Genomic DNA, 26,806 nt, shown 5'->3' with positions numbered 1-26,806 from the left:
GAGACGGGTTTCACTATGTTGACCAGACTGGTCATGAACTCCTGACCTCGTGATCTGCCTGCCTCAGCCTCCCAAAGTGTTGGGATTACAGGCATGAGCCACCGTGCCTGGCCAGCTTATTGTATTCTTGATTACTGGAACCTTGTAGTAAATTTACTAGATTATTAGATTTTGATTACTACAGCTTTGTAGGAGATTTTGAAATCAGGAAGTGTGAGTCCCCCAGCTTTGTTCTTCTTTTAAAGATTATTTTGGCTACTTGCGGTCCCTTCAGAGCCCATGTGAATTTTAGAGTGGTTTTTTCTGCTGCTCTCTTTCGGTTTTGGTTTGCTTGGAATCCCTTTTTTCACCCTTTCCCTTTCAGTGTACTTGTGTCTTTGAATTTAAATCAAGATTTTTGTAGACAGCATTGAGCTGAATTATGTGTGTGTATTCATTCTGCCAATCTCTGTCTTTTGAGTAGAGAGTTTAATTCATTTTCATTTAAAGTAATTACTGGCCAGTTGCAGTGGCTCATGCCTGCAACCCCAGCACTTTGGGAGACTGAGGTGGGTGAATCACTTGAGCTCAGGAGTTTGAAACCAGCCTGGGCAACATGGTGAAACCTGGTCTCTACGAAAAATTAGCTGGGCATGGTGGTATGCACCTGTAGTCTCAGCTACTTGGGAGGCTGAGGTGGAGAATCACCTGAGCCTGAGAGGCTGAGGCTGCACTGAGCCATGATCTTGCCACTGTACTCTAGTCTGGGCAACAGAGTGAGACCCTGTCTCAAAATAACTAACAAAATAGATAAATAATCACTGATAATGAGGGATTTACATCTGTCATTTTGCTGTTTGTTTTCTATTTGCGTTATAGTTTTTTGTCCTCCATTTTTTGTATTACTGTCTTCTTTTAGGTTTAGTTGATTTTTCAAGTGAAATATTTAAATTCCTTTCTCATTTCCCTTTGTGTACATTATATAGCTATTTCCTTTGTGGTTACCATGGGGATTACATTTAACATTCTAATGTTATAACTCTAATTTAAATTTATACCTGCTTAATTTCAATAAATTCTACTCCTTTACAGCTCTATCCTACCTCTTTCAGTTGCTGATGTCACAAAATTACATCTTAATTCACTGTGTGCCTCAAAACATAAATTAATAATTTTAAAAAATGCATTAGGCTCAAAGTATGAACAAAACGTGGAGTTACAAACCAAAGTGACGAGAATACTAGCTTCTTGACTCATGCTTTTAAAAAACACATTCTCTTAAATCATTTAGAAAACAAAAAAGTGGGGTTACAAGCCAGTGTTACTATAATACTAACTTTTATCATTGCTCACATATCTACTTTTATTGAGATCTTTATTTCTTTATATAGCTTCAAGTTATGGTCTAGTGTCTTTTCATTTCACCCTATAGGACTTCCTTAAGCATTTCTTGCAGGGCAGGCCTAGAGGTAGTGAACTCCCTCATTGTTTTCATTGTTTAAAGTTTTATTTTCTCTCTCTTTCTTTTTTGTTTTTTTTTTTTTTTGATGGAGTTTCACTCTTGTTGCCCAGGTTGGAGTGCAGTGGTGCGATCTCTGCTGACTGCAACCTCCACCTCCCGTGTTCTAAGCGATTCTCCTGCCTCAGCCTCCTGAGTAACTGGGATTACAGGCATGCACCACCACACCCAGCTAATTTTTGTATTTTTAGTGGAGATGGGGTTTCACCATGTTGGCCAGGCTGGTCTTGAACTCCTGACCTCAGCTGGGATTACAGGAGTGAGCCACCACACCCAGCCCTCTCTCACTTTTGAAGGACAGTTTTGCTAGATATAGAGTCCTTAGTTTTTTTTTTCTTGAACACTCAGAATATATATCAGCCCACTGCTTTCTGGCCTCCAAAGTTTTTGATATCTGCTGATAATCTTGTGGCAATTCCTTGTATGTGATGAGTAATTCCTCTTGTTGCTTTCAAGATTCTGTCTTTTTATCTGTCTTCCAAAAGTTTGATGTATCTTGGTGTGGGTTCTTTGAGTTCATCTTACCTGGAGTTTGTTGAGCTTAGATGTTTATATACATGTCTTTCATCAGATTTGGAAAATTTTAAACTATTATTTCTTCAAATGTTCTCCTGACTCTTTCAGTCTCTCTTCTCCCCCAATGCATATGTTGCCCTGTTTTATGGTGTCCCACAGGTTTCTTAGGCTTTGTTCATTTTTCTTCAATATTTTTTCTTTGTGTTCCTCAGACAATAATTTCCATTGTCCTGTCTTCAAGTTCTCTGATTCTTTCTTCTGCCTGCTCAAATCTGCTTTTTAATCCCTCTAGTGAATTTTCATTTCCATGATTATACTTTTCACCTTCAGAATTTCTTTTTGGTTTCTTTTTAGGTTTTATATCTTTTTATGAATATTTCAATTTTGGTCATTCATTTTTTTGTTGACTTTCTTGACACTTCCTTTAGTCCTTTGAGCATCTTTAAGACAGTTGTTTTAAAGTCTTTGTCTAGTAGATATATAATCAATCAGGTCTTTTTAGGAACAGTTTCTATTGACTTTTTTTCTTTAAATGGGCCATACTTTCCTGTTTCTTTGTATGCCTTGTGATTCTTTTTCTTGAAAATCGGACATTTGAATCTAATATCACAATTTTGAAAATCATGTTTCCCCCTTCCCTGGGGTTTGTTGCTTTTTGTTACATTTTGTTGTTGTTGTAGGCTTTCTCTGTGCCAAGGGTCAGCGTTAGGTACAAACATAAGGTCTTCTCAGGTCTTTTCTGAGCCTGTATGTGCCATATCACTTTCTAACTTTCTCCATACATGCAGCTGCTTTTGAATGTCCTAGTCTTTAATGTCTGGCTTCCAAAAAGGGAAAAGGAGAAAAATGAAGTCACTTCATCCAGTGCAGGAGAGCTTGCAACAATGGGGGAAGGTGAAACAATAGGCACCTGCTTCTTTGCACTCTTGTGATCAGAACAGCAATCAGCAATCAGAACACCAATCCCAAATATCTGAAGGACAACATCCTTTTTTCTTGCCAGCCTCGCTCCTGAAAGCTGTCTGTAAACTGCTACAGGAACATGTGCATAACTGTCTGCGCTGGGGCTGGTGGGGAGGATGGGTGACTGCTGTTGTGCCAAAATTAACTGCATTTTGCCTCCAAACCTACTCCTGGAAGCTGCAATCCAATAGACTCCAGAGCTCCAAAACTGTTACATCAGACAGATTCTGCCAGTGCAATTGTTGTCTGGGTAGGGAAACATATTTCTGGTGCTTATTGCTCCACCATCTTCCCAGAATCTTCCTAGAATGTCTTTTCTAGGTCCCCATGTCACTGCCTTTACCAGTGCTCTTTGTTTCTTCATGTGGTTTTGAGTTACTGTCTTGTGTTCTTTCATTTCAGTCTAAGGTACTCTCATTAGTATTTCTTGTAGGACAGATTTCCTAGTGATAGACTCTGGTTTTGATTTACCTGAGAATGTCTTAATTTCACCTTTATTTTTTCAGATATAAACTTCTTGGTTGATAGTATTTTTTTTTCCAATGTGTTTAATATGTCACCCAACTGCCTACTGGCCTCCATGTTTTCTGGTAAAAAGTCAGGTGTTAACCTAACTAAGGATCTCCTGTATGAGATGAGTTGCTTCTCTCTTGATGCCTTCAAGATTCTCTCTTTGTCCTTGGCTTTGACGGTTTGATAATGATGTGTGTCAGTGCGGCTATCTCTTTGCATGTTCCCTACTTGGAATTGGTTGAGCTTATTGGATGTGTAGATAAACATTTTTCTTTATCTTTGGGAAGTGTCAGCTATTATTTCATCAAATAATTTTCTGCCCCTTTATCTCCCTCCTCCCTTTCTGGGGCTTCAGTTATGCATTTGCATTTGTTTGTATGTTTGATGATGTCACACAGGTCTCTGAGTCACTGGTCAGTTCTCTTCATTCTTTTTTCCTCAAGCTGGATACTTTCAATTTACCTATTTCCTTTTTTACTTACACTTTACACTACCTGCTCAAATCTTCTGTTGAAATCCTCTAGTGAGAGTTTAAATTCAGTTATTGTACTTTTCAACTCCAGAATTTCTACTTGGTTCTCTATAATTTCTGTCCTTTACTGATATTCTCTATGTGGTAAAACATCACTCTTATACTTTAAATTATTTAGAAAAGTTTTCCTTTGTTCTTGGAAGATATTTAAGACCATAAATTTAAAGTATTTGTCTGGTACATCCAGCATCTTGTCTTCCTCAATGACAGTCTCTATCGATTGCTTTCTTCCCCATGTGTAGGTCATACTTTCTTGTGCTTTCTCACATCTCACAATTTTTTGTTGAAAAATGAACATTTTAAATAGTATAATGTGGCAACTCCAGAAACCAGATACACCTCCATTCCCCCAGAGTTTGTTGTAGTTTATTATTAACTTTTCTGAATTAATTATGCAAAATCTGTATTATCTACCATGTGTGGCCACTAAGTCTCTCCTCAGTTAGCTTAGTGGTCAGTTAATGGCCAGACAGAGATTTCCTTAAAGGCCCAGAACCAGTCATCTCCCAGTTTTTGTTTTGAGGTTCTATGCATTAGAGAATGCTTTCAACACTCAGTCGGGCAGTTAACAACTCTGCAGTAGCCCTCACTTCCTGCTTGCATAGAGCCTGAAGGTCAGTCAGAAGTATGAGCTCAGTGCCTTCTGAGGTATTTCTGGAGCTCAGACCTGGGAATATGTGTGGCCTTCTAGATTCTCAGAAATAGGTTGGATTTTTTCAAAGCTCCCCATTGACATCTCACTTCCCAGATTTTCCTTTTTTTTTTCAGTTTGTCTATTTCTTGCCCAACTGTTAGCCACCACCTTGGGCAACTGCAAAGTTCATCAATTGCCTATAATTATTATTTTCAACAATAGCCCCAGGAGAAGTCTTTTCATGCTGGGTAAGCTCTGAATCAAGTCAGAAACAGACAGCTTTGCAAGTGGTGTCTTCTAGGGAACCACCAGATAGGTCAAATAATAATGACTTTCTGGAAATGAGGCTTTGAAAGAGCTCCAGCTCAGGCTGTTAGTTTTTATCACAAATGTAGGTTGTTAATTTTTAAGGCTACTACAGAGCTGGAGGGGGTGGGTGGGAATGCATGCTGTTCTTACCAAGATTCAGCCTATTTTATCGATAAAATAAAATAACCCTACATAGATTGCTGCACGCCTTTGGTTAATTTCCAGAGTACTTAAAATGTATTCTGACATTTTTTGCCAGTTTCCTCACTGCTTGGAGGAAGATGAGAATTCTCAGAGGTCCTTATGCTGCCCTTTTTGCTGCAGTCTTGACATCTTAACGTGGATAGAAAAAGGTACTATGGCAAGTGTCACTGAAAATGGATAGGCTCATATTCGAGGGAGGCGGACTGTTGCACAGAGGAGAAAAAACAGTATTTAGAACCAGATAGTAGCAGCAGATTCTCCTCCCAGATCTGTGGCTCGCCAGCAGTGACCTGGCCTCCTTTGCAAGGTGGGACTGGAAGAGCCACTGTGAAACCTGATAAGAGTGAGTGCTGTGTTTGCTGGCCCTCCCGTGAGCCTGGCATGGTGGCTGCAGTCGTGCTTCCAGAGGTGAAGCAGCCGGGCAAGGTCCCCACTCAGCGTCAGCTAAATAAGTCAGAGAAGAGCAGGGGGATGAGCACTGTGTGGGCTGCAGCTCAGCTCACTGGCACGATTCACATCCTCCTTCTGGGTGTCCTCCTGGACTGCAGAGGCTGCAAAGCTGAATCCAAGACTCTGGATTCCCTGACCTGATTCAGGCTCTGCCAATCAATCGGAAGTGCTCAGAGAAACCTGAATCCAGAATGGAGGCATGTGGGCAAGAGGGACACAGGAGCACGTGGCCATCTGCTGCTGGGGTGGCGGGTTCCTGCACAGGGGGGACCAGCTGCCACTCCGCAGCCCCGTCCTGCTGTGCAGTGTGGGAGGTCACCCTTGGACACTCAGTCCACAGTCTCTCTTCAACCCTCCTCACAATTCTATAAGCCACTTAGCCCCCATAGTAAATCCCTGTCTGCTCACACTGGTTATGGTAGGCTTAGTTCTCTGTAGGAGCTCTGATTGAAAAAAAAACCCTGGCATGACAGAGTATGACCAGGCACTCCTCTGGGGGTGGGGGGTGGGGCCTGCAGCTGTTCTCCCTGAGGCCTGTATGGCAGGAAGAAGGCAGCACAGGAAGAATCCTTTAGGTAGGGAGAGCTGCACGTGCAAAGGCCCTGAGGTGTGAGCAGCCAGGGGTGTCTTGGCCAGGGAGGAAGTCAGCGGGTGCTGAAGAGGAGGGACAGAGGAGAGTGGGGCGGGAAGAGCCACTGGACCATGTGGCCCCATCCCTTCGAGTCTGAAGATGAGGGAGGGGGAGGGGGCCAGGAGAACCACTGGACCATGTGGCCCCATCCCTGCGAGTCTGAAGTCTCAAGGGCTAAAGTAGCCTTTAGAAAGCAGATATGTGCAGAGCCCATGGTGCCTGGCCGGAGCAAAGCCCTTGGTGTGTGCAGAGCCCATGGTGCCTGGCCGGAGGGAGGCCCTCGGTGTGTGCAGAGCCCGTGGTGCCTGGCCGGAGGGAGGCCCTCGGTGTGTGCAGAGCCCGTGGTGCCTGGCCGGAGGGAGGCCCTCGGTGTGTGCAGAGCCCGTGGTGTCTGGCCGGAGGGAGGCCCTCGGTGTGTGCAGAGCCCGTGGTGTCTGGCCGGAGGGAGGCCCTCAGTGTGTGCAGAGCCCGTGGTGCCTGGCCGGAGCGAGGCCCTTGGTACATGTCCGTGAGTGGACAAGCAAGTGTGATGTGTCTGGGTGGGCTGGCAAACACAGGACTTTTCAGGTGGGTTTTCAAATGCGCAGCAGGGTCCCTTGGGGGAGCCAGAAACTGATCCTGGAGTCTGGGTGCTCTGGAGGAGACGGCCGCTCCCGTGGGTGGGTACTCCGCGTCTGAGTCAGCTGGTGTGGTGTCAGCAGATGTGGCCAGGAGCTCCATGCTGCTGGGCCAGGCCTGGGTGCCTGTGCCGCGCCCCAGGGAGGGGCTGTGGGCAAGCCCTGAAAGAGCCGTTGACATGCCAGACCCTGAGGGCCCCCATGCCAGAACCCATGCAGAAAGGTAAAGAAGGCCTCTCCCTTCTCAGCTGGGACCCCTGCCCCCTGAAGGGATCTTGGGTTCTGGGGCCCGGGGCAGGGCCACAGCCTGAGGCGAAACAGAGCAGGGTGGCAGTTAGGGGAGGCTCGCCAGGCATTCCTGTATGCCGTCTGCTCCACGCGGCTCACAAACAAACCCATGGAAACCCCACACCCGCCTGCTCAGATCCAATTTAAGCAGCACAGACTCCACCCCCGATGCCTGACTGGGAAAGGAGCTTCACAGCACCTGCGGTTGTCCAAAAGTCCAACCTTAGCAACACATTTTGGTTAAGACAACTTTTAAACATTGCCAACACCCTGGGAGTGTGGGCGCTGATTACTCACACTGTGGTCTACACTTACCCAACCACAGCAGGCACTAAGGGGGTGTCAAAGACAAGGGGGTGCCTGCTGGGGCCGTGGCAGGGCAGCCAGGTGGAGCTGGATGTGGACACAGGGGCTGCTCTGCCCAGCTGCAGACAGGCAGCAGCCACTGGCTCCAGCCACAGCCTTGAGCCACACTCTCCTGAAAACCACCTTGGGGCAAGTGGCTCAAGTGACCTCCAGGAAGGCCCTGTCCTCAGAGGACCCTGGCATTGCTGTCAACCAATTCACTAAACACTTTACTGAATAAGAGAATCCAATCTACAAAATGTATCCACTCCACCCCAGCCCCCTGCAACCTTGGGCCTAGTGGGGTCACTCCTTTGTCCCCATCTCTGAGATGCAAGGAATACTCACCTTGTGGTTAATGAATGAATGAATGGTGTGAATGAATGAATGAAGTGTGTGAATGAATGAATGAAGTGTGTGAATGAACTGTGTGAATGAATGAATGAACTGTGGATGATTGCATGAATGTACTGTATGAATGGATGATTGAATGAATGTACTGTGTGAGTGAATTAGTGCATGAATGTACTGTGTGAATCAATGTACTGTGTGGATGATTGCATGAATGTACTGTGTGAATGGATGATTGAATGAATGTACTGTGTGAGTGAATTAGTGAATGAATGTACTGTGTGGATGACTGCATGAATGTACTGTGTGAATGGATGATTGAATGTACTGTGTGAATGGATGCTTGAATGAATGTACTGTGTGAGTGAATTAGTGAATGAATGTACTGTGTGAATCAATGTACTGTGTGGATGATTGCATGAATGTACTGTGTGAATGGATGAATGAATGTACTGTGTGAGTGAGTGAATGAATGAATGTACTATTTGAATGGGTGGATGAATGAAAGTACTGTGTGAGTGAATGAATGAATGTACTGTGTGTGTATGTGGGGGGCTGCTCCTGCCTGCGGGCACAGAGGAACTCTTCTGTGTGGGTGGGGGGACACCTTGCAAAGTGCTGGTGTGTGAGTTACACCTATGGATACTTATCCTGTGACCCTCAGCAGAAGGCAGGATAGAGACTTCTGGTTCACAGAAGAGGGTCTGAGAGCCAGGGGGGTTTCCAGCAAGACTCTGAGAGCATGGAGTCACACAAGATCACTCCGTCACTGGCCTGCAGTCCCTGCCTCAGTGCAGAAACAGCTCTGCCTGAGACCCCAGCCCGATCCAACCCAAGGGGCCACAGGATCCAGAAAATTAAGCCCACCTGGCCCCAGTTCTCCCATGTCCCCCTCTCTGAGCACAGCAAAGAATGCTCCCATGTCCCCTGGTGCCCTAGGGCCTTCGCAGGCGTGCTTTTGGAGGGGCCTCCCACTACCAAAGGAAGTTCCTCCTGGCTGCTGTCTACTCCAGCCCTCCAAACAAGCCCCCTCCCTTCCCAGACAAATCAGCTGTGGCCCTGCCTGGAGCACCTCCAAGGCCTCGGTCTACCACCACCCCACATCCTAGCTAGAGACCCCCAGGCCTAGGCCCACCACTGCCCTACATCCTAGCTGAAGCCCCCGAGGCCTGGGCCCACCACTACCCTACATCCTAGCTGGAGATCCCCAGGCCTGGGCCTACCACCACCCACATCCTAGCTGAAGCCCCCGAGGCCTGGGCCTACTACCACCCACATCCTAGCTGGAGAACCCCCACCCAGGCCAGGGCCCACCACCACCCTATATCTTAGCTGGAGACTCCCCCCACACAGCCTGGGCCCACCACCACCCACATCCTAGCTGGAGACCCCCCAGCCTGGGCCCACCACCGCCCTACATCCTAGCTGGAGACCCCCCAGCCTGGGCCCACCGCCAAGTGGGGGCCCCAGGTCGCAGAGCTCACTGAGACGGCATGAGGGCCGGGCTGGGAGAACAGCTCCTGCTGCCCCTGGGCTGTTCCGCAGCCTCCTTGGCCTCCTGTGAGACTGGGTGAGCCTGGAAGCCGCTGCCACGGCCAGAGCTGGACTGAGATGGGGACTGTGCCTCAGCGAGTCTCTGGAGCGGCACCCTGGCTTCCTACACAGGAACATGCCCCAGACCCGGCGCCTCCTTCCTCTCCTCAGACCCAGAGCCAGTAGCTTTGCCATGGAGCCTGTGCTCCTTTCAGCCGAGGAAGCTGTCCAGAAAGCGAGGATTGTCCAGGGATGCAGAGTAGCTGCAGTACAGCCGCCCCATGCCGCTCTGGGAAAAAGGCCTGTGGATTCGAGTCCAGCCTCTGAGCAGCGGCTGCCAGTCCTGCTCTGGGGACTCGTGGAGGGCCTGAGATCCTTCCAGGCAGATGATGAGATCGAAGCCCATTGCATGAGGGCACCTTTTGCTCCCATGCTCTGATGGGCACACGGCGGCTTTCGAGGGCTGCAGGCCAGAGCAGGCACCTGACAAGGCTGGTAACATACGCAGCCAAGGCTGGATTTTCTTCATAGACTTCAACCAACAGCACATCTCAGCAGATGAAGTGCTGGAGCCGATATGGGAATCCAGCTTCCACTAAGCCGGACAATACAAAGATTCGCACCAACGTAGAACCACGCCACTTTTCTCAGGCGGGTTTTTCATTTTTAAAAGTATGATTGCTTTTCATAAAACATTATGCTATTTATGTTAATGTGTAATAGCAATATTTTCTTATTTTTAAGTGAATTGGCAAGTATTCTGAACATTTCTGTTATGATTTAGAAAATGATAAGTATCCATAGGTATAACCCATACAAACAAAAAAGTTCTTCAGTGTCCTCAATTAGTTTTTTTTGTTTTTGTTTTTTGTTTTTTTGTTTTTTTTTTTTTTTTGAGATGGAGTCTCGCTCTGTTGCCCAGGCTGGACTGCAGTGGCGCGATCTTGGCTCACTACAACCCCTGCCCCCTGGGTTCAAGAAATTCTCCTGCCTCAGCCTTCTGAGTGGCTGGGATTACTGGCGTGCACCACCACATCCAGCTAGTTTTTGTATTTTTAGTACAGATGGGGCTTCACCATGTTGGCCAGGCTGGTCTCGAGTTCCTGACCTCAAGTGATCCGCCCGCCCTGGCCTCCCAAAGTGCTGGGATTACAGGCATGAGTCTCACTCTGTCGCCCAGGCTGGAGGGCAGTGGCACACACAGTTCACTGCAGGCTTGACCTCCCCTGGCTCAGGTGATCCTCCCACCTCAGTCTCCTGAGTAGCCGGGACCACAGACACAGTCTCCTGACTAGTTGAGACCACAGGCGCACTCCACCACACCCAGCTAATTTTTGTATGTTTTGTAGAGATGAGGTCTCCCTGTGTTGCCAAGGCTGGTATCAAACTCTGGGCTCAAGTGATCCTCCCGCCTCGGCCTCCCAAAGTGCTGGGATTACAGGCATGAGCCACTGCGCCTGGCCCTCAGTGACCTTTAAGAGTATGAAGGAGTCCTCAGATAAAAACATTTGAGAAGCACGGAGGTGGAAATTTGTCTTTGGCCTGGGGGCCTGGAGTCTAAATACTGCATTGAGTGGCTGATCTGTGGTTTTCGCTTAAAATACAGGTTAGATCATTTGTTTCTGTTTGCATTCTGTCCTAGTTGCTTCTATTTATTTTTTCTCTCTTTTTGAATCTGTGAAACATTAACAGGGTTCCAAACATCAGAGTGTTTTGTCTAAGCTTAAAAGCCCTCTGGGTGATTCCGATGAGCAGAGGCCGGGAAGGATTGAGCAAGACCATTCCCGAGCTCCTTCCTCCGCTCTGTTTCCAGATCCCATGACTGGGGACCTATAAATATTTTCCTGACATGGAGCAGGATCAACTTCAGCATCTGTTAGCTTCATCCCAAAGGCAGGGAAGCCTAGAGCCCCTGGGAGGGCTCTGCACCGCACACACCGCCGGCCTGCAGCCCCAGCCCTGTGCGGGGTCCTGGGGAGGGGGGCCCCCTTTCTGTGGCTCTTCCTGACTCCCTGCGCGTTCCACCCCAGACCCTCAGCCCACTCTGACCTCCCTCCAGGAGGGATGGCTTGCAAATGCCCTCTGGCCACAGTGCAGACCGCTAGGCTGTTCTGTGCAGCTTTAGGCCATGCCAGGAAAGAGACTTAAAGCCAGGGCCCCAAAGGCCAGGGATGCCTGCGCCGGGAGCCAGGAGCTTCCCCAGCCACTTCCAGCATGTAGACTGAAGTCAGGCCACGCACAGGGCTCTCCAGGTCACACCCTGCGCAAGAAGGTGTAGCACGCTGGCTCTAATTTCGAGAAGGTGAAAACAAGAGCCCCTCTGCCCCCACGCCCTGAGCTTTCCCGAAAGGCTTGGGGCAAAGAACTCCCCTCAGTGGCACCTAGGGAGGCACCAGGAAGGCGCTTGTTGGAACGGGAGAGAAACGGGGAGAGGGAGGAGGACAGGGGGGAGGGGAGGAGGGGAGGGGAGGAGGGGAGGGGAGGAGGGGAGGGGAGGGGAAGGGAGGGGACAGGGAGGGGAGGGGAGGGATAGGACAGACAGACAAAGAAAGGGGTGCGGCAGCACTGCCAGGGGAAGAGGGTGATCCGACCCGGGGAAGGTCGCTGGGCAGGGCGAGTTGGGAAAGCGGCAGCCCCCGCCGCCCCCGCAGCCCCTTCTCCTCCTTTCTCCCACGTCCTATCTGCCTCTCGCTGGAGGCCAGGCCGTGCAGCATCGAAGACAGGAGGAACTGGAGCCTCATTGGCCGGCCCGGGGCGCCGGCCTCGGGCTTAAATAGGAGCTCCGGGCTCTGGCTGGGACCCGACCGCTGCCGGCCGCGCTCCCGCTGCTCCTGCCGGGTGAGTACTGCGTGCCCCCGGGACACCCAGAGAGGGCCCGGGCCTCCTGCACTTTCCCCGCGGCCCAGAACCTTGTGGCACCTCCAGAGGGACCCCCAGGACTGGCTGCGACCGAGCTTTAAGGGTCTAGTCCCGGGGGCAGCCAGTCGGCCAAGGCCCCGGGTCCCTGCGACGGCGAAGGCATCCCGGAGGCCGCACCCAGACCGGCCCGGCAAGCTGCAGGGACTCGGACTGAAAACCTGCCCGTTACCCCTGGTCGCTCGCAGGCGCACGGGCGATCTAACCCCGCGCCGTCCATTCCGCTGATGGGGGTCTCGGAAGCACCGCAGGAGAGCTTTGCGGAGCAGGGAGGGGGTCGCGGGTGCTCGGGGCCGTCCTCAGAGCCCAAAGTGCCGCAGCCCTCTCGGCTTTCCACCCCGAGGCTGCCACGACGGTGCCAGCGCGCGGCTGCTCCCCTCTGTGCTCCCAGGTGATGGAAAACCCCAGCCCGGCCGCCGCCCTGGGCAAGGCCCTCTGCGCTCTCCTCCTGGCCACTCTCGGCGCCGCCGGCCAGCCTCTTGGGGGAGAGTCCATCTGTTCCGCCAGAGCCCTGGCCAAATACAGCATCACCTTCACGGGCAAGTGGAGCCAGACGGCCTTCCCCAAGCAGTACCCCCTGTTCCGCCCCCCTGCGCAGTGGTCTTCGCTGCTGGGTAAGTACAGCCCCCTCCTCGCCTCCTGCTCCACCAGGAGGGCTGCGGCGCCGGAGCCCCCCGCACAGCTGCACGGCGGCGCTTCCCAGTCTGGGGCGTGCTGACGTCGGGAGACTCTAACACCAGAATGTTTGCCGAGCGCCTGCGGTGTGCGGTTCCGGGGATGCGGTGGGGGCAGGGGGCGCTCACGGGGAGGGCGCAGGTGGGTCGCGGCAGGGGCAGCCACAGGGTGTCACGGTCCGACGTGACTGGGGGCCATGGTTCCCTGCGGGCGGCGGGGAGGGATTTCCTGGGGCGCCCCCTGGAATCCAAGCCCGACCGCAGTGTCTGACCATGGTCCGCGGCGCGGCCGGGTGGTCCTGCAGGGGCCGCGCATAGCTCCGACTACAGCATGTGGAGGAAGAACCAGTACGTCAGTAACGGGCTGCGCGACTTTGCGGAGCGCGGCGAGGCCTGGGCGCTGATGAAGGAGATCGAGGCGGCGGGGGAGGCGCTGCAGAGCGTGCACGCGGTGTTTTCGGCGCCCGCCGTCCCCAGCGGCACCGGGCAGACGTCGGCGGAGCTGGAGGTGCAGCGCAGGCACTCGCTGGTGAGCGCGGGGCCGGCCGGGGGCGGGGTCCGGGGGGCCGGGGCCAGGCGCGCTGAGCCGCTGTCGCCGCAGGTCTCGTTTGTGGTGCGCATCGTGCCCAGCCCCGACTGGTTCGTGGGCGTGGACAGCCTGGACCTGTGCGACGGGGACCGTTGGCGGGAACAGGCGGCGCTGGACCTGTACCCCTACGACGCCGGGACGGACAGCGGCTTCACCTTCTCCTCCCCCAACTTCGCCACCATCCCGCAGGACACGGTGACCGAGGTGAGTGGGCACCCCGCGTGCGCAAGGGCCGCTATGGCCCCCGCGGTGGGGACGGGGCTGGGGCCTGGCTGCACCCTCGCCTCCCAGCCCAGGACAGCCGCTTGCGGCTTTTGTGTGGAAGAGGCTCTGCTTCTAGCGCCAGCAGTGAGCAAGGGGGTGCAGCCCTCCCATACTCTCCCAACCCGGGGTCACAGCACCGCAGGGAGGACAGCGGGACGCGCGTCCCGAGGAGGCTGCCCCTTCCTGGCCTCGGTTTCCAGCCCGTGTTCCGTGGGATGGCTGAGAGGAGTACATGGGACCCTGTCCCCAACAGTGGTGCAGAGGGCACGCTGGACGCTGGGCAGTGGCCCCAGTGAGGCCATACGCATACCAGAAGGTGGGCTTCTCGGACCCCAGGCCAACCTCCTCTTCTTCCTCCCCAGATAACGTCCTCCTCTCCCAGCCACCCGGCCAACTCCTTCTACTACCCGCGGCTGAAGGCCCTGCCTCCCATCGCCAGGGTGACACTGGTGCGGCTGCGACAGAGCCCCAGGGCCTTCATCCCTCCCGCCCCAGTCCTGCCCAGCAGGGACAATGAGATTGTAGACAGCGCCTCAGGTAACGGACATACAGGTCACATGGGACACACAGCAGCCCCGAACCCTGCCACAGGGCGACCACCAAACCCGAACCTAAGGCTCTGAGAAATTCCAAGTAGGGATTCGTAGTGCGTACTGCAAGATGGTGCCTAGAAGATTTAGGATTCTGTTGATTCACACACTGAAGATGTGACTCTTGCACATTATTTGCAGTTGAAAGCATCTTACAGGGCCACAGCCCAGAGGAAAGAATGAAAGGAGGCTCCAGACAGTACCTGAGAGACTCTGTCCTGTCAGACACGCACCCACAGGTGACCTGTGTGTCACAGCTGACAAGGAAGCTTGCTAGGATGGCCCTGTGTGGCCACCGGGTGACAGCTATGCTGCAGGGCACCTGTGGGGGTCTCGGGACCCAGCCACCACACAGCTCGGGGCTCTGCTCACAGGCGCCTTGGCCTGGGGCGGGGCAGGTGCTGATGAGCATTCTCCTAGCTCTTCCAGGCACCTGCTGGACAGGGCAGGCTGGGAACGCTGGGGCCGAGTGGCAGTTCCCTCCCTACTCAGCTGGGTGGCAGCCACTGGCCTCACGGAGCGCCTGTGGTCTGGAGCGCATTGCTGGGTCGTGGGTCAGGGCCTGTTGGCTCTGGGTCTCTGGGTCTCACCTGATATGGGTGTGGGACAGTCAGTGTAGGCCCCAGACAACAGCGGACTTCAGACTTTCCCGAGGAGGAACTGGAGCCCACCAACCTGGCCATGGGCCCCGTCGTCCTCCACCCTCCATGTTGCTGGCTGGAGTTGAGGCAGGTACGGGGCCGCCCCACACCTGCCCCCCAAGCCATGTGGTAGGGACAGATGTCGTCTTGAGGAGCAGCAGTAATTACAAGCTTACTGTCAGCCGTCCCTGGAAGCAAGGGCCAGGTCAGGTCAGACAGGAGGCCGCCTGGCTGGCGGGAACCACTCCCCAGACAGAGACTGTGCCCAGTCCTGGGTCCCTCCTCATTTGGGATGAACTGGGCCTCCCTGTGCCAGCCTCGGTGCTGCCCCTGCCCAGTGCAGGCTTGGGCTCCTCACTCATTTGTCCACGCGGATGCCCCATTCCAAGCAGATGTCCCCGAGCCACTTACCCAACAGGCAGACGTGCCAGCACTGTTCGTGGTGTGCAACTGGTCTGGCGGGAAGAGCCCCTCGTGGGCAGAGGGTCCAGAGAGGTGCGGTTTGCCCCACATTTGGGGGCACTGGGCCACAGTGGGCAGGGGAGCACATGGCCAGTGCCCTGGGCTAGGAGAGGGATAAAGTCAGCTGTGGCCAAGCAGAAGCAGTATTGCAGGGGAAGGGTGGGGAGAGACTGTGCTATGAGCTCTGAGCAGGAGGCAGGACATGGAGAGAAGGGTGGGAGACGGACAGAGCCAGCTGTGCCAGCCGAGGGACCAGAGTGGGCAGTGGGGACGGAGCACAGACCACCGCCCACAAGGGTCTCTCCTGTGACTTCTGGCTTCCCGAGGGCAGAGGCTGGGATGGGCATGTGGCGGCTGGCACCCAGGAGGCTCCGCCAGGTCCACGCCAAGCCAGCCTGGCTCAGCTCTGGCTTCCTGCTCACACGCTGGATGCCTGTCCCCAGGCCTCCTGACAGGGCTCTGCAGCATTGGAGAGGCTTGTGGTGGGGCCCTCGCTGTAGAACAGGCACTGCCAGTGCTCACTGACTCCTCATTGCAGCCAGGGCAGGGGCGCTCCCACCACCTCGGTTTCAGTCAGGAAGCTGGGGGGTGCTGGGATCTGCCAGCAGCTCTGTGTGCTCCCCAGGTGGGCTGCCCGGGGCCCTGGCTCTCTGGCTTCTACACCAGTGCCCCTGCGAAGCCTCAGCGCCCAAGGTCTTTGCAAGCCCTGTTCCTGCATCTCTGGAGAGGGCTGCTCCAGGTGTGGGCCTGGCCAGGGCTTCCAGACCAGTCCAGGCACTGCACCTGCACATTGACCCCCTTCTCCACTCTCTCTCATCCTTCAGTAGCCACAAAGCTGGCAGCAGGGTACTCGCAGATTTGTGAGGAGAGCCGAGCCCTTGCTGACTGTCCTCCCGTGCACGGCAGAGTGAGGCGGGGCTCCTGGCCTCCTTAGGGGCTGCCCGCTCTGGGCCACACAGCCAGAGAAACACTGTCCATCTGGCTGGCTTGGCCTGTGGGGTGCAAAAGAGGTGTTTTCACTTTGCTTTGGAAACATGGAAATTACCAAGTGACTTAACCATAACACCAAATGATGATTTTTAAATTTATGAAAATTATGGAACCAGATGGGACACAGGGAAACGAGAACGATACTGAAAAGGTCTGAGTCCTGTGGGGGGTCCAGGTCCCGCAAGACAGCTAATCAGGTGCCCCTGTCTGTTATTCGGGTAAATGTAGCAGCTGGGTCCAGGCTCGGGCAGAGCAGCTTTCTACAGCAGGGGTGTCCGCCCTCTCCCGGGGTTCCCACGGGGTTCCCAGGGGCCCCTTACTCTGCCACGATGTGGGAGTTCCACCACCACAGGGACTTGAGCGGCAGCTCCGGCTCTTACGTAGAAACGCGCAACTCCAGTCCCTAGGTTGTGTCCGAGGTTGCTATGGTGCCATCCCATCTTGCCGCTCACTCTGCGACTGTGCGGAGAAACGCAAGTGCCCCCGAAGGGTGGGCGTGGCCTCTGATGAATGCACACGTTGGTGGGAGGTGGCTTCCGTTTGTACGAAGCGCCTCTTCACGCGAGCGTTCACCTCGGTCTCCCCTTTGCTTGGTCCAGTTCCAGAAACGCCGCTGGACTGCGAGGTCTCCCTGTGGTCGTCCTGGGGACTGTGCGGAGGCCACTGTGGGAGGCTCGGGACCAAGAGCAGGACTCGCTACGTCCGGGTCCAGCCCGCCAACAACGGGAGCCCCTGCCCCGAGCTCGAAGAAGAGGCTGAGTGCGTCCCTGATAACTGCGTCTAAGACCAGAGCCCCGCAGCCCCTGGGGCCCCCCGGAGCCATGGGGTGTCGGGGGCTCCTGTGCAGGCTCATGCTGCAGGCGGCCGAGGGCACAGGGGGTTTCGCGCTGCTCCTGACCGCGGTGAGGCCGCGCCGACCATCTCTGCACTGAAGGGCCCTCTGGTGGCCGGCACGGGCATTGGGAAACAGCCTCCTCCTTTCCCAACCTTGCTTCTTAGGGGCCCCCGTGTCCCGTCTGCTCTCAGCCTCCTCCTCCTGCAGGATAAAGTCATCCCCAAGGCTCCAGCTACTCTAAATTATGTCTCCTTATAAGTTATTGCTGCTCCAGGAGATTGTCCTTCATCGTCCAGGGGCCTGGCTCCCACGTGGTTGCAGATACCTCAGACCTGGTGCTCTAGGCTGTGCTGAGCCCACTCTCCCGAGGGCGCATCCAAGCGGGGGCCACTTGAGAAGTGAATAAATGGGGCGGTTTCGGAAGCGTCAGTGTTTCCATGTTATGGATCTCTCTGCGTTTGAATAAAGACTATCTCTGTTGCTCACAAATGTCCCTGGCTGTCCCCACACTTGTTCTGGGCCCCGTGCAGTGCAGGGACCCGTGGTGTGCGCTAATTGGGGACACACATTCAGAAGGCGCCTGGTGCTGCCGTCAGGGCCATGAGGCACGTGCTCTGTGTGTGTGTGGGAGGCAGGCCTGAGACCTACAGATCTCCCCACAACAGACGCCACCCCTGGCCCATACAGGATTTCAGAAGACACAGCAAATGGCATGTCAGATGCATCCACAAACCCGGCAGGCACGCGCCTGCCCACAGGACGATCAGAAGCTCAGACAAGGGGCACCTTGAGATCCGGACGAGGCCCCAGAAGCCCTCACTCTGCCCCCTCCTCTGTGGGAGCAGCTTGCATTGCTGCTGTTCATGGGGGGGCCACTGACCACCAAGACCCTCGCAGCCCATCAGGCCACCAGCAGACACCTCCTGAGACCTGAGCTCAGAGGCCCCAACCTCAAAGATGTCCTCAGGGGCTCACTGTAATCTGTCGTGGCCCTTTCTGCAGCAGGGGTCCCCAGGCCTCCCCACCAGTGCCACTCACCTGGTGGAACCCCAGGGCCCTCTCAGTGCCTGGGCGGGAGCTCTGTGTGGTTTGAGGATGGAGATGCTTGGGGGATGGCTGCTTCTTCAGTCCTCTCCCAGTGACTGGAAGGTGGGGGCTCACTTCTCTCACCGAGGCCTGGTAGACGACCCTTCCTCGTAACTGTCTAAGGCCCTCCAGCCCTGATGCTTCTAGAACCAGACCCCAGGCCCAGCTCCCACCACCCTGCACGCCATCCCCGCCCACCATCCTTGAAAACAATGAACTAAGCCCAAGCTCACGGGCGCATGAGCTCTGAGGTGACGTGGAGATCTGAAAAACCCCTGGCTTAAAGTTTTCTTAAGGTTCCTGGGACTGACAATGCCAGGAGGCCCCTGAAAGAATGGCCGTAAATCCTGTGTAGAGATCACACTGTGTACTTGGAACTCAAGAGGATCCCCAGGAACATGAACCCACAATCAGAACCCATAAAACGCACAGAACACCAGCCTTGATGCTCCTGAGTCAGAGCACATGGCAAACTCCACGGTCAGAGCCACCGGGCCGCTGGGGCTGGCATGACCAGGAGAAGATGCTGACCGAGTTAACCTCGCCAGGAGCTCTAAACTCAAAGACACCAGAGCAGCACAATGGGGTGGTGCATTGAAGCCTCGACAGACGGACACAACACTCCAGTCAAAGGGCAGAGACTGCAAGAGCAGACTCACAGAACCATGCGCTACTGTGGAGCCTGTGAAGTCCTGTAGGATCACTGAAAGGCTGGGGAAGGGGTTGTGGTGCAGACTCCTGCAGACACCTGGATCCACCTGCCCTCCCTCCTGGAGCATGGAGCTGGGGGTCCCTGGGGTAGGACAGGCGTCACTTTGGGGCCAGAACATTTACTGCCCAGGTGAGAGGCTATTGTGCTTTCCTGGCCTCAGGGACCCCAGGGCATGTGTTGACGTGGGTGCCATCACTGAAGTCTCTGGGGCCCCAGGGCATGTGTTGATGTGGGTGCCATCACAGAAGTCTCCAGGGCCCCAGGGCATGTGTTGACGTGGGTGCCATCACAGAAGTCTCTGGGGCCCCAGGGCATGTGTTGACGTGGGTGCCATCACAGAAGTCTCTGGGGCCCCCACGCCACTAGGACGGCCACTGTTGTGCTGAGGCATTGAGATTTGAAGGAGACCAATGGGGAACGCCATCCGGTAATGGAATGCTGTGTGAGGAATCCCACAGGGGCCGCCTGGCCGGAGGGTGGATCAGACAGGACCTATGTGGCTGCCCTCTCCTGAATGAGGTGGGGAGCACGGGAAGGCGCAGAGTGCAGAAACAGCACTGCATCAGTGGCCGCCATCTTGACAGCAGTGAGTAGTGGGTATAGACAGGAAAATGGAGAGGAGAAGCCCCTGCAATAGTCCCAAAAGAGAGAGGTTTGGGCCTCAGAGACACCCGTGGACATGGGAAGAAATGGATGAGTCTGGGTTTGTTTTGATGAAAACGCAACGTGAATACTTACAGACCTGCGTTTAACATGCCTCCCAGAGATACCCAAGCAGTTGACCCCATCCCAGTTTCAGGAAGGCCTTGTCCCAACTGGGTCAGCATGGGGAGCCAGGGGGGCAGTGAGCAAGTGAGGGCAAGTTCACACCTGAGGGACCCATTCGTGGTCTGTAGCCCCCTGCACACTGTGCTGCCACAGGTGGACGGGGGGCACCTGGGCCAGAAGGAGGGGCTCCACAACTACACTGAGACTGCATGCCCCTCATATTAGTGGGATGTGGATACGCTGGGCTCCAGGGTGCTGCTGGGCCTACAGGGTGAGGGTTGGTCCAGCCCACTGTGCTGAGAAGTGGTCGGCAGTCCACAGTGTCCGAGCCATAGGAGGATAATCATGGAATGGCCCACTGTGCTCAGCAACAACACACAGGCCATGGGGACTGGGGCTGAGGGGTCTGTGGCACTGGGGGAGGAAGACAAAGGGTAGAACATGGAGAAGCGATGGGCAGGGAGTTCCTGGCAAAGATGGTAGGCTGAGGAACTGAGCACTGACACCTAACTCCACTCCCACCATACTCCATTGGAGCTGTAGAAGAGGGTGTGTGGATGGCACAATCCAGACGCCTACCTTGGCACTCTCAGGGGACACCCTCCACCCACAGAATGGCGAAACGGGATGGATACAGCTCTGAGACACTGCCCCTTTCATAAGATGCAGGGAGGACTCCACTTTCTACCCCCACTTCTAAAAATAAGTAAACACACACATTGAGGCTGGAGCAAGGAGGTGGTGTCAGGCCAAAGAAACAAGCTCATGAGCAGCTGGGAGAGACAGGGCTCCTGAGGGCTGCTGTGAGCTTGGCTAGCAGCAGAGTGAAAAGGTGAACCCAGCACCCCACATGGAGAGGGACCCTCGAGGCCAGCAATGCCCTGTGATATAGGAAAGGACAGGAGCAATTCTCTCCTCAGGAGCTTTCCCAGTCCCTAGTGTGAGCCCCAACAATCAAAATCAGGCAACGAGCACAACACAAAGATTAAATAAACAAGAAAACAAGTCGCTATAATTGAAAGCCAGAAAAAAAAAACCAACAGATTCAGACACCCAAGATCTCAGATAATTAACTTGTCAGAAATGTAATACAAAACAAATAGAACAAAAATGACCAACCAACAAGGGAAATTAGAAACAAACAGATACATTTGGAAAGGAAAAATTATAAAATGAGGAAGCCTGAGTGAGTTGGAGAGCTAATTAGCATAGCTGAACAAAGAATTAGTGAACTGGAAGATCTAGCTGAAGATATCAGGCAGAATGCAGCACAGAGAGACAGGAAATGGGAAATTTCACAAAGATATGGAAGACAAGATGGAAAGTTCTAAAATGTTTTAAATCAGAGACTCTAAAGGAGATAATAGGGAGAGTGGAGAAGAGATAATATTTAAAGAGAAAATAGTGCAAATTTACAGCACTGGTTAAAATTAGAAGCTGTCTCCAGAAACAGAAAGCATAATGTATTCCAAAGAGGAGAAGTGAAAGCAGTCCACGCCCACACACAGTATATTGAAACTGGTGAACACTAAACACAAAGAACGAACCTTCAGGCTGGGCGCGGTGGCTCACGCCTGTAATCCCAGCACTTTGGGAGGCCGAGGCAGGCGGATCACGAGGTCAGGAGATCGAGACCATCCTGGCTAACACGACGAAACCCTGTCTCTACTAAAAATACAAAAAAAATTAGCTGGGCGCGGTGGCGGGCACCTGTAGTCCCAGCTACTTGGGAGGCTGAGGCAGGAGAATGGCATGAACCCCAGAGGCAGAGCTTGCAGTGAGCCAAGATTGCGCCATTGCACTCCAGCCTGGGAGACAGTGAGACTCCATCTCAAAAAAAAAAAAACAAAAAACAAAAAAAAAAAACAAGAAAAAACCTTCAAAGGACCCAGAGGAATGTACAGATTGCTTATGAAGGAACATCTATTGAATGACAGCTACTTCCTAACAGCCCAAAGGGAGTCAGAAGGCAGTCAGATAATAACTTTTGAAATGTTGAGAGAAATTAACTGTCAACCCACAGCTGGGAACTCAGCAACACCTTTTAAGAATGAGAGCAAAATGCAGACATTTTCAGATTAACAGAAACTGAAGAATCTTAATACCAAGATAATTACCCTGAAAAACTTCTAAAGGATGTTGTTCAGGGTGGAGGAAAATTATCCCAAAAGGATGGTCTGAGATTTGAGGAATGGTAATACAAATTATTTTAAATCTCTCCAATAACAAAAGTATAAATTCCCCAAAGATGGAGAAAAAAATAACAGCAAAATTAGAGAAGCTGAAAAGCAGCGGTAAAGTGAGAGCTGATCAGCAGGGCCGAGGAAAACAAATCCTAAGCTGGAAGTTCAGGTTCACAAATTCAAATAACTGGCCGGCCACGGTGGCTCACACCTGTAATCCCAGCACTTTGGGAGGCTGAGATGGGTGGATCACTTGAGGTCAGGAGTTTGAGACCAGCCTGGCCAACATGGTGAAACCCCATCTGTACTAAAAATACAAAATTAGCCGGGAGTGGTGGCAGATGCCTGTAATCCCAGCTACTCAGGAGGCTGAGGCAGGAGAATTGCTTGAACCCAGGAAGCAGAGGTTGCAGTGAGCCGAGATTGCACCATTGCACTCCACCCTGGGCGATACAGACTCCTTCTCAAAAAAACAAAAACCCCCAAAAAACAAACACCCAAATTCAAATAACTGGGCAAATTTTTAACCACAGAATGTTTAAAAGCACAGGGAATTGTCAGTTCCAAATACATTTATTACTAGATTCTATAATGTCATAGTATAATTTTGGTATAGGATAATGCTGACCTCATAAAATGAATCCAAGTGCTCTCTTCTCTGACTTTGTGAAAAATGGATATTAACTTTTTCATAAACGTTTTATAGAATATTTCACAGAATTCACCAGTGAGGCCATTGGGCCTAGAATTTTCTTTGTGGGAGGAGTTTTTAATTACAAATAAAATTTATTTATTCGATTCTTTATTAGATTGATTAGGCTATTAAAAATATTTTTTCTTGTGAAAGTTTTTGTAATTTGTGCTTTTGAAGAATTTGTCAATTTCATCTAAATTGTCAAATGTATTGGCACAACTCATTCACAAAATTCTTTTAGACAGGGTATCCCTCTGTCGTCAGGCTGGAGTGCAGTGACACAGTCACTGCTTACTGCAGTCTCAGCCTTCTAGGTTCAAGCCATCCTCCCACCTTAGCCTCCTGAGTAGCTGGGACTACAGGTACCCCCCCACCACACCCAGCTGATTTTTATTGTTTTGTAGCAACAAGGTCTCACTATGATGTCCAGGCTGGTCTTAAACTCCTCAAGTCATATCCATCTTCCTTAGTCTCCCGAAATGCTGGGATTACAGACATGAGCTACCACACTGGCCCATAAAATTTCTTTATTACCCTCTTATTATCTGTAGAATTTATAACGATATCCCCTTTCATTCTGATATTGGTAACTTGTGGTTTTTCTCCTTCTCCCCTGATCAGACTTACCAATTTTATTGATCTTTCAAAGAACGAGTTTTAGTTTCATTAGCTTTCTCTAGTGTTTGTTCATTTTGTTTCAATGATTTCCACACTTTACTTTTACTTTTTCTTCCATCAATCTTTAATGTTTCCTTCCTTCTTACTTTAGGTTTAATTTGCTTTTCTTTTTGTAGTTTATTAAGGTAGAAGTTTAGGTCATGGATTTTAAACTTTTCTTCTTTTCTAATACAAGCATTTTTTTTTTTTTTTTTTGAGACAGAGTCTCACTCTGTCACCCAGGTTGGAGTGCGGTGGCGTGATCTCAGCTCACTGCAACCTCCGCCTCCTGGGTTCAAGCAATTCTCCTATCTCAGCCTCCCAAGTAACTGGGACTACAGGCACATGTCATCATGCCTGGCTAATTTTTAAATTTTTAAAATAGAGATATGATCTTACTATGTTGCCCAGGCTGGTCTCAAACTCAATACAGGTATTTAAAGGCATAAATTTCCCTTTATAAATTGCTTTAGCCGCATACCACAAAAGAAATATATTTTCATTGCAATTCAATTAAAATACTTCCTATCTTCCCTGTGACATCTTCTCTGATACATGGTTTATTTAAAACTGTGTTTAATATCTAAATATTTGCAGTTTCTCATATAAGTTTTATTACTGATTTCTAATTCAATTAAGTTATGGTCAGGAACATATTGTATGATTTCAATCCTTGTAAATTTATTGATACTATTTTATAGCCCCAAGTAAGACCTATCTTGGCAAATATTCCCTGTGCATCCTGTCATGCCTGAGTGTGGTGTTTCACTAATGTTAGTTTGCTCAAGTTGGGTCACATTGGTTGATGGCATCGTTCAGGTCTTCACTAATCCTACTGACTTCCCTTTATTTGTTATATTACTAATAGAGGATTGTTGACATCTCCAACTATAATTATAGATGTATCTCTTTCTCCTTCAATTCTGGCAATTTTTGTTTCATAAAATTTGGAAGCTTTATTATTAGGTACATATATATTTAAGATAGTTCCCATTTATCATTATGAAATGCTCCTTTATCTCCAGTAATCTCCTTTTATTTAAAAATCTATCTTGCCTGATATTAATATTGGCACTCCTACTTCTTGGATTAGAGTTTGCATGGAATATCTTTTTAAAAGCCAGTTTCTTGTAGACATTACTTATTTGAGTCTTGCTTCTTTACTGGTCTGATAATCTCTGCCTTTATGTCATTTACATCGAATGGACTTAATTGATATCATCAGATTTAAATCTACCAATTTCATTTTTATTTTGTCTCATCTGTTCTTTCTTTTCTTGCATATAATTTTATTTTTGAGCCATGTAAATATTTTACATAATCAAAAATAAAAATAGTGAACTTTAAAGAGGCAAAATGACTAAACTGCAAATATTGAAAACAAACTGACACAAATGAAATATACTTTATATGAAAATAATTACTTCAATAACTTTAAATGGTGTTTTTGTGCGTATGTCCCCGGGAAAAGACGAAAGAGAATGGCAAAGAAATCTTAGATGGCATTTCGTAGTCTTTTTGATAGCAGCAAATGTTGGTGTGGCTCTTTGGAAATTCTTGTGGACACCCCCACTTTACTGCACTTTGCTTCACTGTGCTTTGCAGATACTGTGCTTTTTACAAATGGAAGGTTTGAGGCAACCTTGAATTGAGCAAGTCTGTCAGCGCCATTTTCCAACAGCATGTGCTCACTTCATGTCTCTGTGTCACTTTTTGGTAACTGCCACAATATTTCAGTGTATTTTATCATTATTATATCTGTTATAACGATCTGTGTTCAGTGATCTTTGTTGTTACTGCTGAAATTGTTTTAGGACGTCACCAACTATACCCACGTAAGATGGCAAATGTAGTAGATAAATGTTGTGTGTGGTCTGACTGCTCCAATGACTGTCCATTGCCTCATTTCTCTCTCTCTCCTCAAGTCTCCCTATTTCCTGAGATATACTAATATGAAATTAGGCCAACAAGTAACCCTGCAGTGGCCTCTAAGTGTTCAAGTGAAAGGAGGAGCCATCATCTCTCTCTTGCAATCAAAGGCTAGAAATGATTAACATAAAGCTGAGATAGGCTGAAAGCTAGGCCTCTTGTGCCAAACAGTCAGCCAAGTTGTGAATACAAAGAAAAAAGTATTGTTATTTTTTGAGACAGGGTTTTGCTCTGTCACCTAGGCTGGAGTGCAGTGGCATGATCATAGCTCGCTGTAACCTTGAACTCTTGGGCTCAAGGGATCCTCCTGCCTTAGCCTCCAAACTAGCTAGGACTACAGGCATGTGCCCAGCTAATTTTTTTTTTATGTATTTTTTTGTCGAGACAAGGTTTTGCTATGTTGCTCAGGCTGGTCTCAAACTCCTGGCCTCAAGCAATCCTCCTGCCTCAGTCTCAAAGTGTTGGGATTATAGACATGAGCCACTGTGCCCAGCCAAGAAAAGTTCTTGAAGGAAATTAAGAGTGCCACTCCAGTAAACACACAAATGATAAAGTGAAACAGCCTTATTGCTGATATGGAGAAAGTTTGAGTGGTCTAGATAGAAGATCAAACCGGACACAACCTTCCCTTAAGCTAAAGCCTAATCCAGAGCAAGGCTTTCTCTTCAGTTCTATGAAGGCTAAGAGAGGTAAGGGAGCTGCAGAAGAAAAGTTTGAAACTAGCAGAGGTTGGTTCATGAGGTTTAAGGGAAAAAAAAAACAGAACAAGGTGAAGCAGCAAGTGCTGATGTAGAAGCTGCAGCAAGTCACCCAGAAGATGTAGCTGAGATCATTGATGAAGACGGCTACACTAAACAGTGGATTTCAAATGTAGACAAAACAGTCTTCTATTGGAAGAAGATGCCATCTAGAACTTTCATAGCTAGAGAGAAGCCAGTGTCTGGCTTCAAAGCTTCAAACGACAAGCTAACTCTCTCATTAGGGGTAATGCAGCTGGTGACTTAAAGTTGACTCCAATCCTCATTGACCATTCTGAAAATCTTAGGGCCCTTAATAATTATGCTAAACCTCCTCCACTTATGCTCTATACATGGAACAACATGGCCTGGATGACAGCCATCTGTTTACAGCATGGCTAACTGAATATTTTAAGCCTACTTTTGAGACCTACTGCTCAGAAAAAAAAAAAAGATTATTTCAAAGTATTACTATGCATTGACAATATTGACAATGCAGCTGGTCACCCAAGAGCTCTGATGAAAATGTATAAGGAGATTACTGTTGTTTTCATGCCTGCTAACACAACATCCATTCTGCAGCCCATGGATCAAGGAGAAATTTCAATTATCAAGTCTTACTATTTGAGAAATACATCTTGTAAAGCTATAGCTGCCACAGATAGGGATTCCTCTCATGAATCTGGACGAGTAAA

General features: G+C 50.7%; 2 protein-coding genes across 4 annotated transcripts in view, besides 8 other annotated features; one reads left to right on the top strand and one right to left on the bottom strand.

The window, feature by feature from the left end:
• The window catches only part of SPON2 (spondin 2), a 41,913-nt gene extending 24,079 nt beyond the window's left edge, over positions 1-17,834 (top strand). Inside the window, exons 2-8 of one of the 3 annotated variants that reach the window (NM_001199021.2) lie at positions 5,225-5,318; positions 12,082-12,222; positions 12,692-12,914; positions 13,280-13,503; positions 13,576-13,767; positions 14,190-14,364; positions 17,110-17,834. In NM_001199021.2, the coding sequence (NP_001185950.2) occupies positions 12,695-12,914; positions 13,280-13,503; positions 13,576-13,767; positions 14,190-14,364; positions 17,110-17,294 (996 nt within the window). In that variant the 5' untranslated portion in view covers positions 5,225-5,318; positions 12,082-12,222; positions 12,692-12,694 and the 3' untranslated portion in view covers positions 17,295-17,834. Of the gene's footprint in view, positions 1-5,224; positions 5,319-11,585; positions 11,687-12,081; positions 12,223-12,691; positions 12,915-13,279; positions 13,504-13,575; positions 13,768-14,189; positions 14,365-17,109 lie in introns of those variants that run through there. The other 2 variants (NM_001128325.3, NM_012445.4) reach the window with 2 other exon arrangements.
• The window catches only part of LOC124900647 (nascent polypeptide-associated complex subunit alpha, muscle-specific form-like), an 89,556-nt gene that overhangs the window by 18,429 nt on the left and 44,321 nt on the right, over positions 1-26,806 (bottom strand). The window lies entirely within an intron of this gene.
• Positions 5,828-6,328: an enhancer, noted in NCBI's record as "H3K4me1 hESC enhancer chr4:1172226-1172726 (GRCh37/hg19 assembly coordinates)". NCBI's record gives its function as "activates a minimal SCP1, AML or CMV promoter by ChIP-STARR-seq in naive H9 embryonic stem cells {active_cell/tissue: H9 hESC(naive)}" and the evidence as "EXISTENCE:reporter gene assay evidence [ECO:0000049][PMID:30033119]".
• Positions 7,256-7,365: an enhancer, noted in NCBI's record as "active region_21145". NCBI's record gives its function as "activates an Ori minimal core promoter by ATAC-STARR-seq in GM12878 lymphoblastoid cells {active_cell/tissue: GM12878}" and the evidence as "EXISTENCE:reporter gene assay evidence [ECO:0000049][PMID:35858748]".
• Positions 11,570-12,287: an enhancer, noted in NCBI's record as "H3K27ac-H3K4me1 hESC enhancer chr4:1166267-1166984 (GRCh37/hg19 assembly coordinates)". NCBI's record gives its function as "activates a minimal SCP1, AML or CMV promoter by ChIP-STARR-seq in naive H9 embryonic stem cells {active_cell/tissue: H9 hESC(naive)}" and the evidence as "EXISTENCE:reporter gene assay evidence [ECO:0000049][PMID:30033119]".
• Positions 12,288-13,003: an enhancer, noted in NCBI's record as "H3K27ac-H3K4me1 hESC enhancer chr4:1165551-1166266 (GRCh37/hg19 assembly coordinates)". NCBI's record gives its function as "activates a minimal SCP1, AML or CMV promoter by ChIP-STARR-seq in naive H9 embryonic stem cells {active_cell/tissue: H9 hESC(naive)}" and the evidence as "EXISTENCE:reporter gene assay evidence [ECO:0000049][PMID:30033119]".
• Positions 17,346-17,629: a silencer, noted in NCBI's record as "fragment chr4:1160925-1161208 (GRCh37/hg19 assembly coordinates)". NCBI's record gives its function as "represses an EF-1alpha promoter that drives an FKBP-Casp9 reporter gene in an ReSE screen in HepG2 liver carcinoma cells {active_cell/tissue: HepG2}" and the evidence as "EXISTENCE:reporter gene assay evidence [ECO:0000049][PMID:32094911]".
• Positions 17,346-17,705: a biological region, named in NCBI's record as "ReSE screen-validated silencer GRCh37_chr4:1160925-1161208".
• Positions 17,456-17,705: an enhancer, noted in NCBI's record as "active region_21144". NCBI's record gives its function as "activates an Ori minimal core promoter by ATAC-STARR-seq in GM12878 lymphoblastoid cells {active_cell/tissue: GM12878}" and the evidence as "EXISTENCE:reporter gene assay evidence [ECO:0000049][PMID:35858748]".
• Positions 21,294-21,343: an enhancer, noted in NCBI's record as "active region_21143". NCBI's record gives its function as "activates an Ori minimal core promoter by ATAC-STARR-seq in GM12878 lymphoblastoid cells {active_cell/tissue: GM12878}" and the evidence as "EXISTENCE:reporter gene assay evidence [ECO:0000049][PMID:35858748]".

This window comes from Homo sapiens, chromosome 4 (assembly GCF_000001405.40).
Source record: "Homo sapiens chromosome 4, GRCh38.p14 Primary Assembly".
Classification (NCBI taxonomy): domain Eukaryota; kingdom Metazoa; phylum Chordata; class Mammalia; order Primates; family Hominidae; genus Homo; species Homo sapiens.
This window is presented reverse-complemented; position numbering and strand designations above follow the sequence as displayed.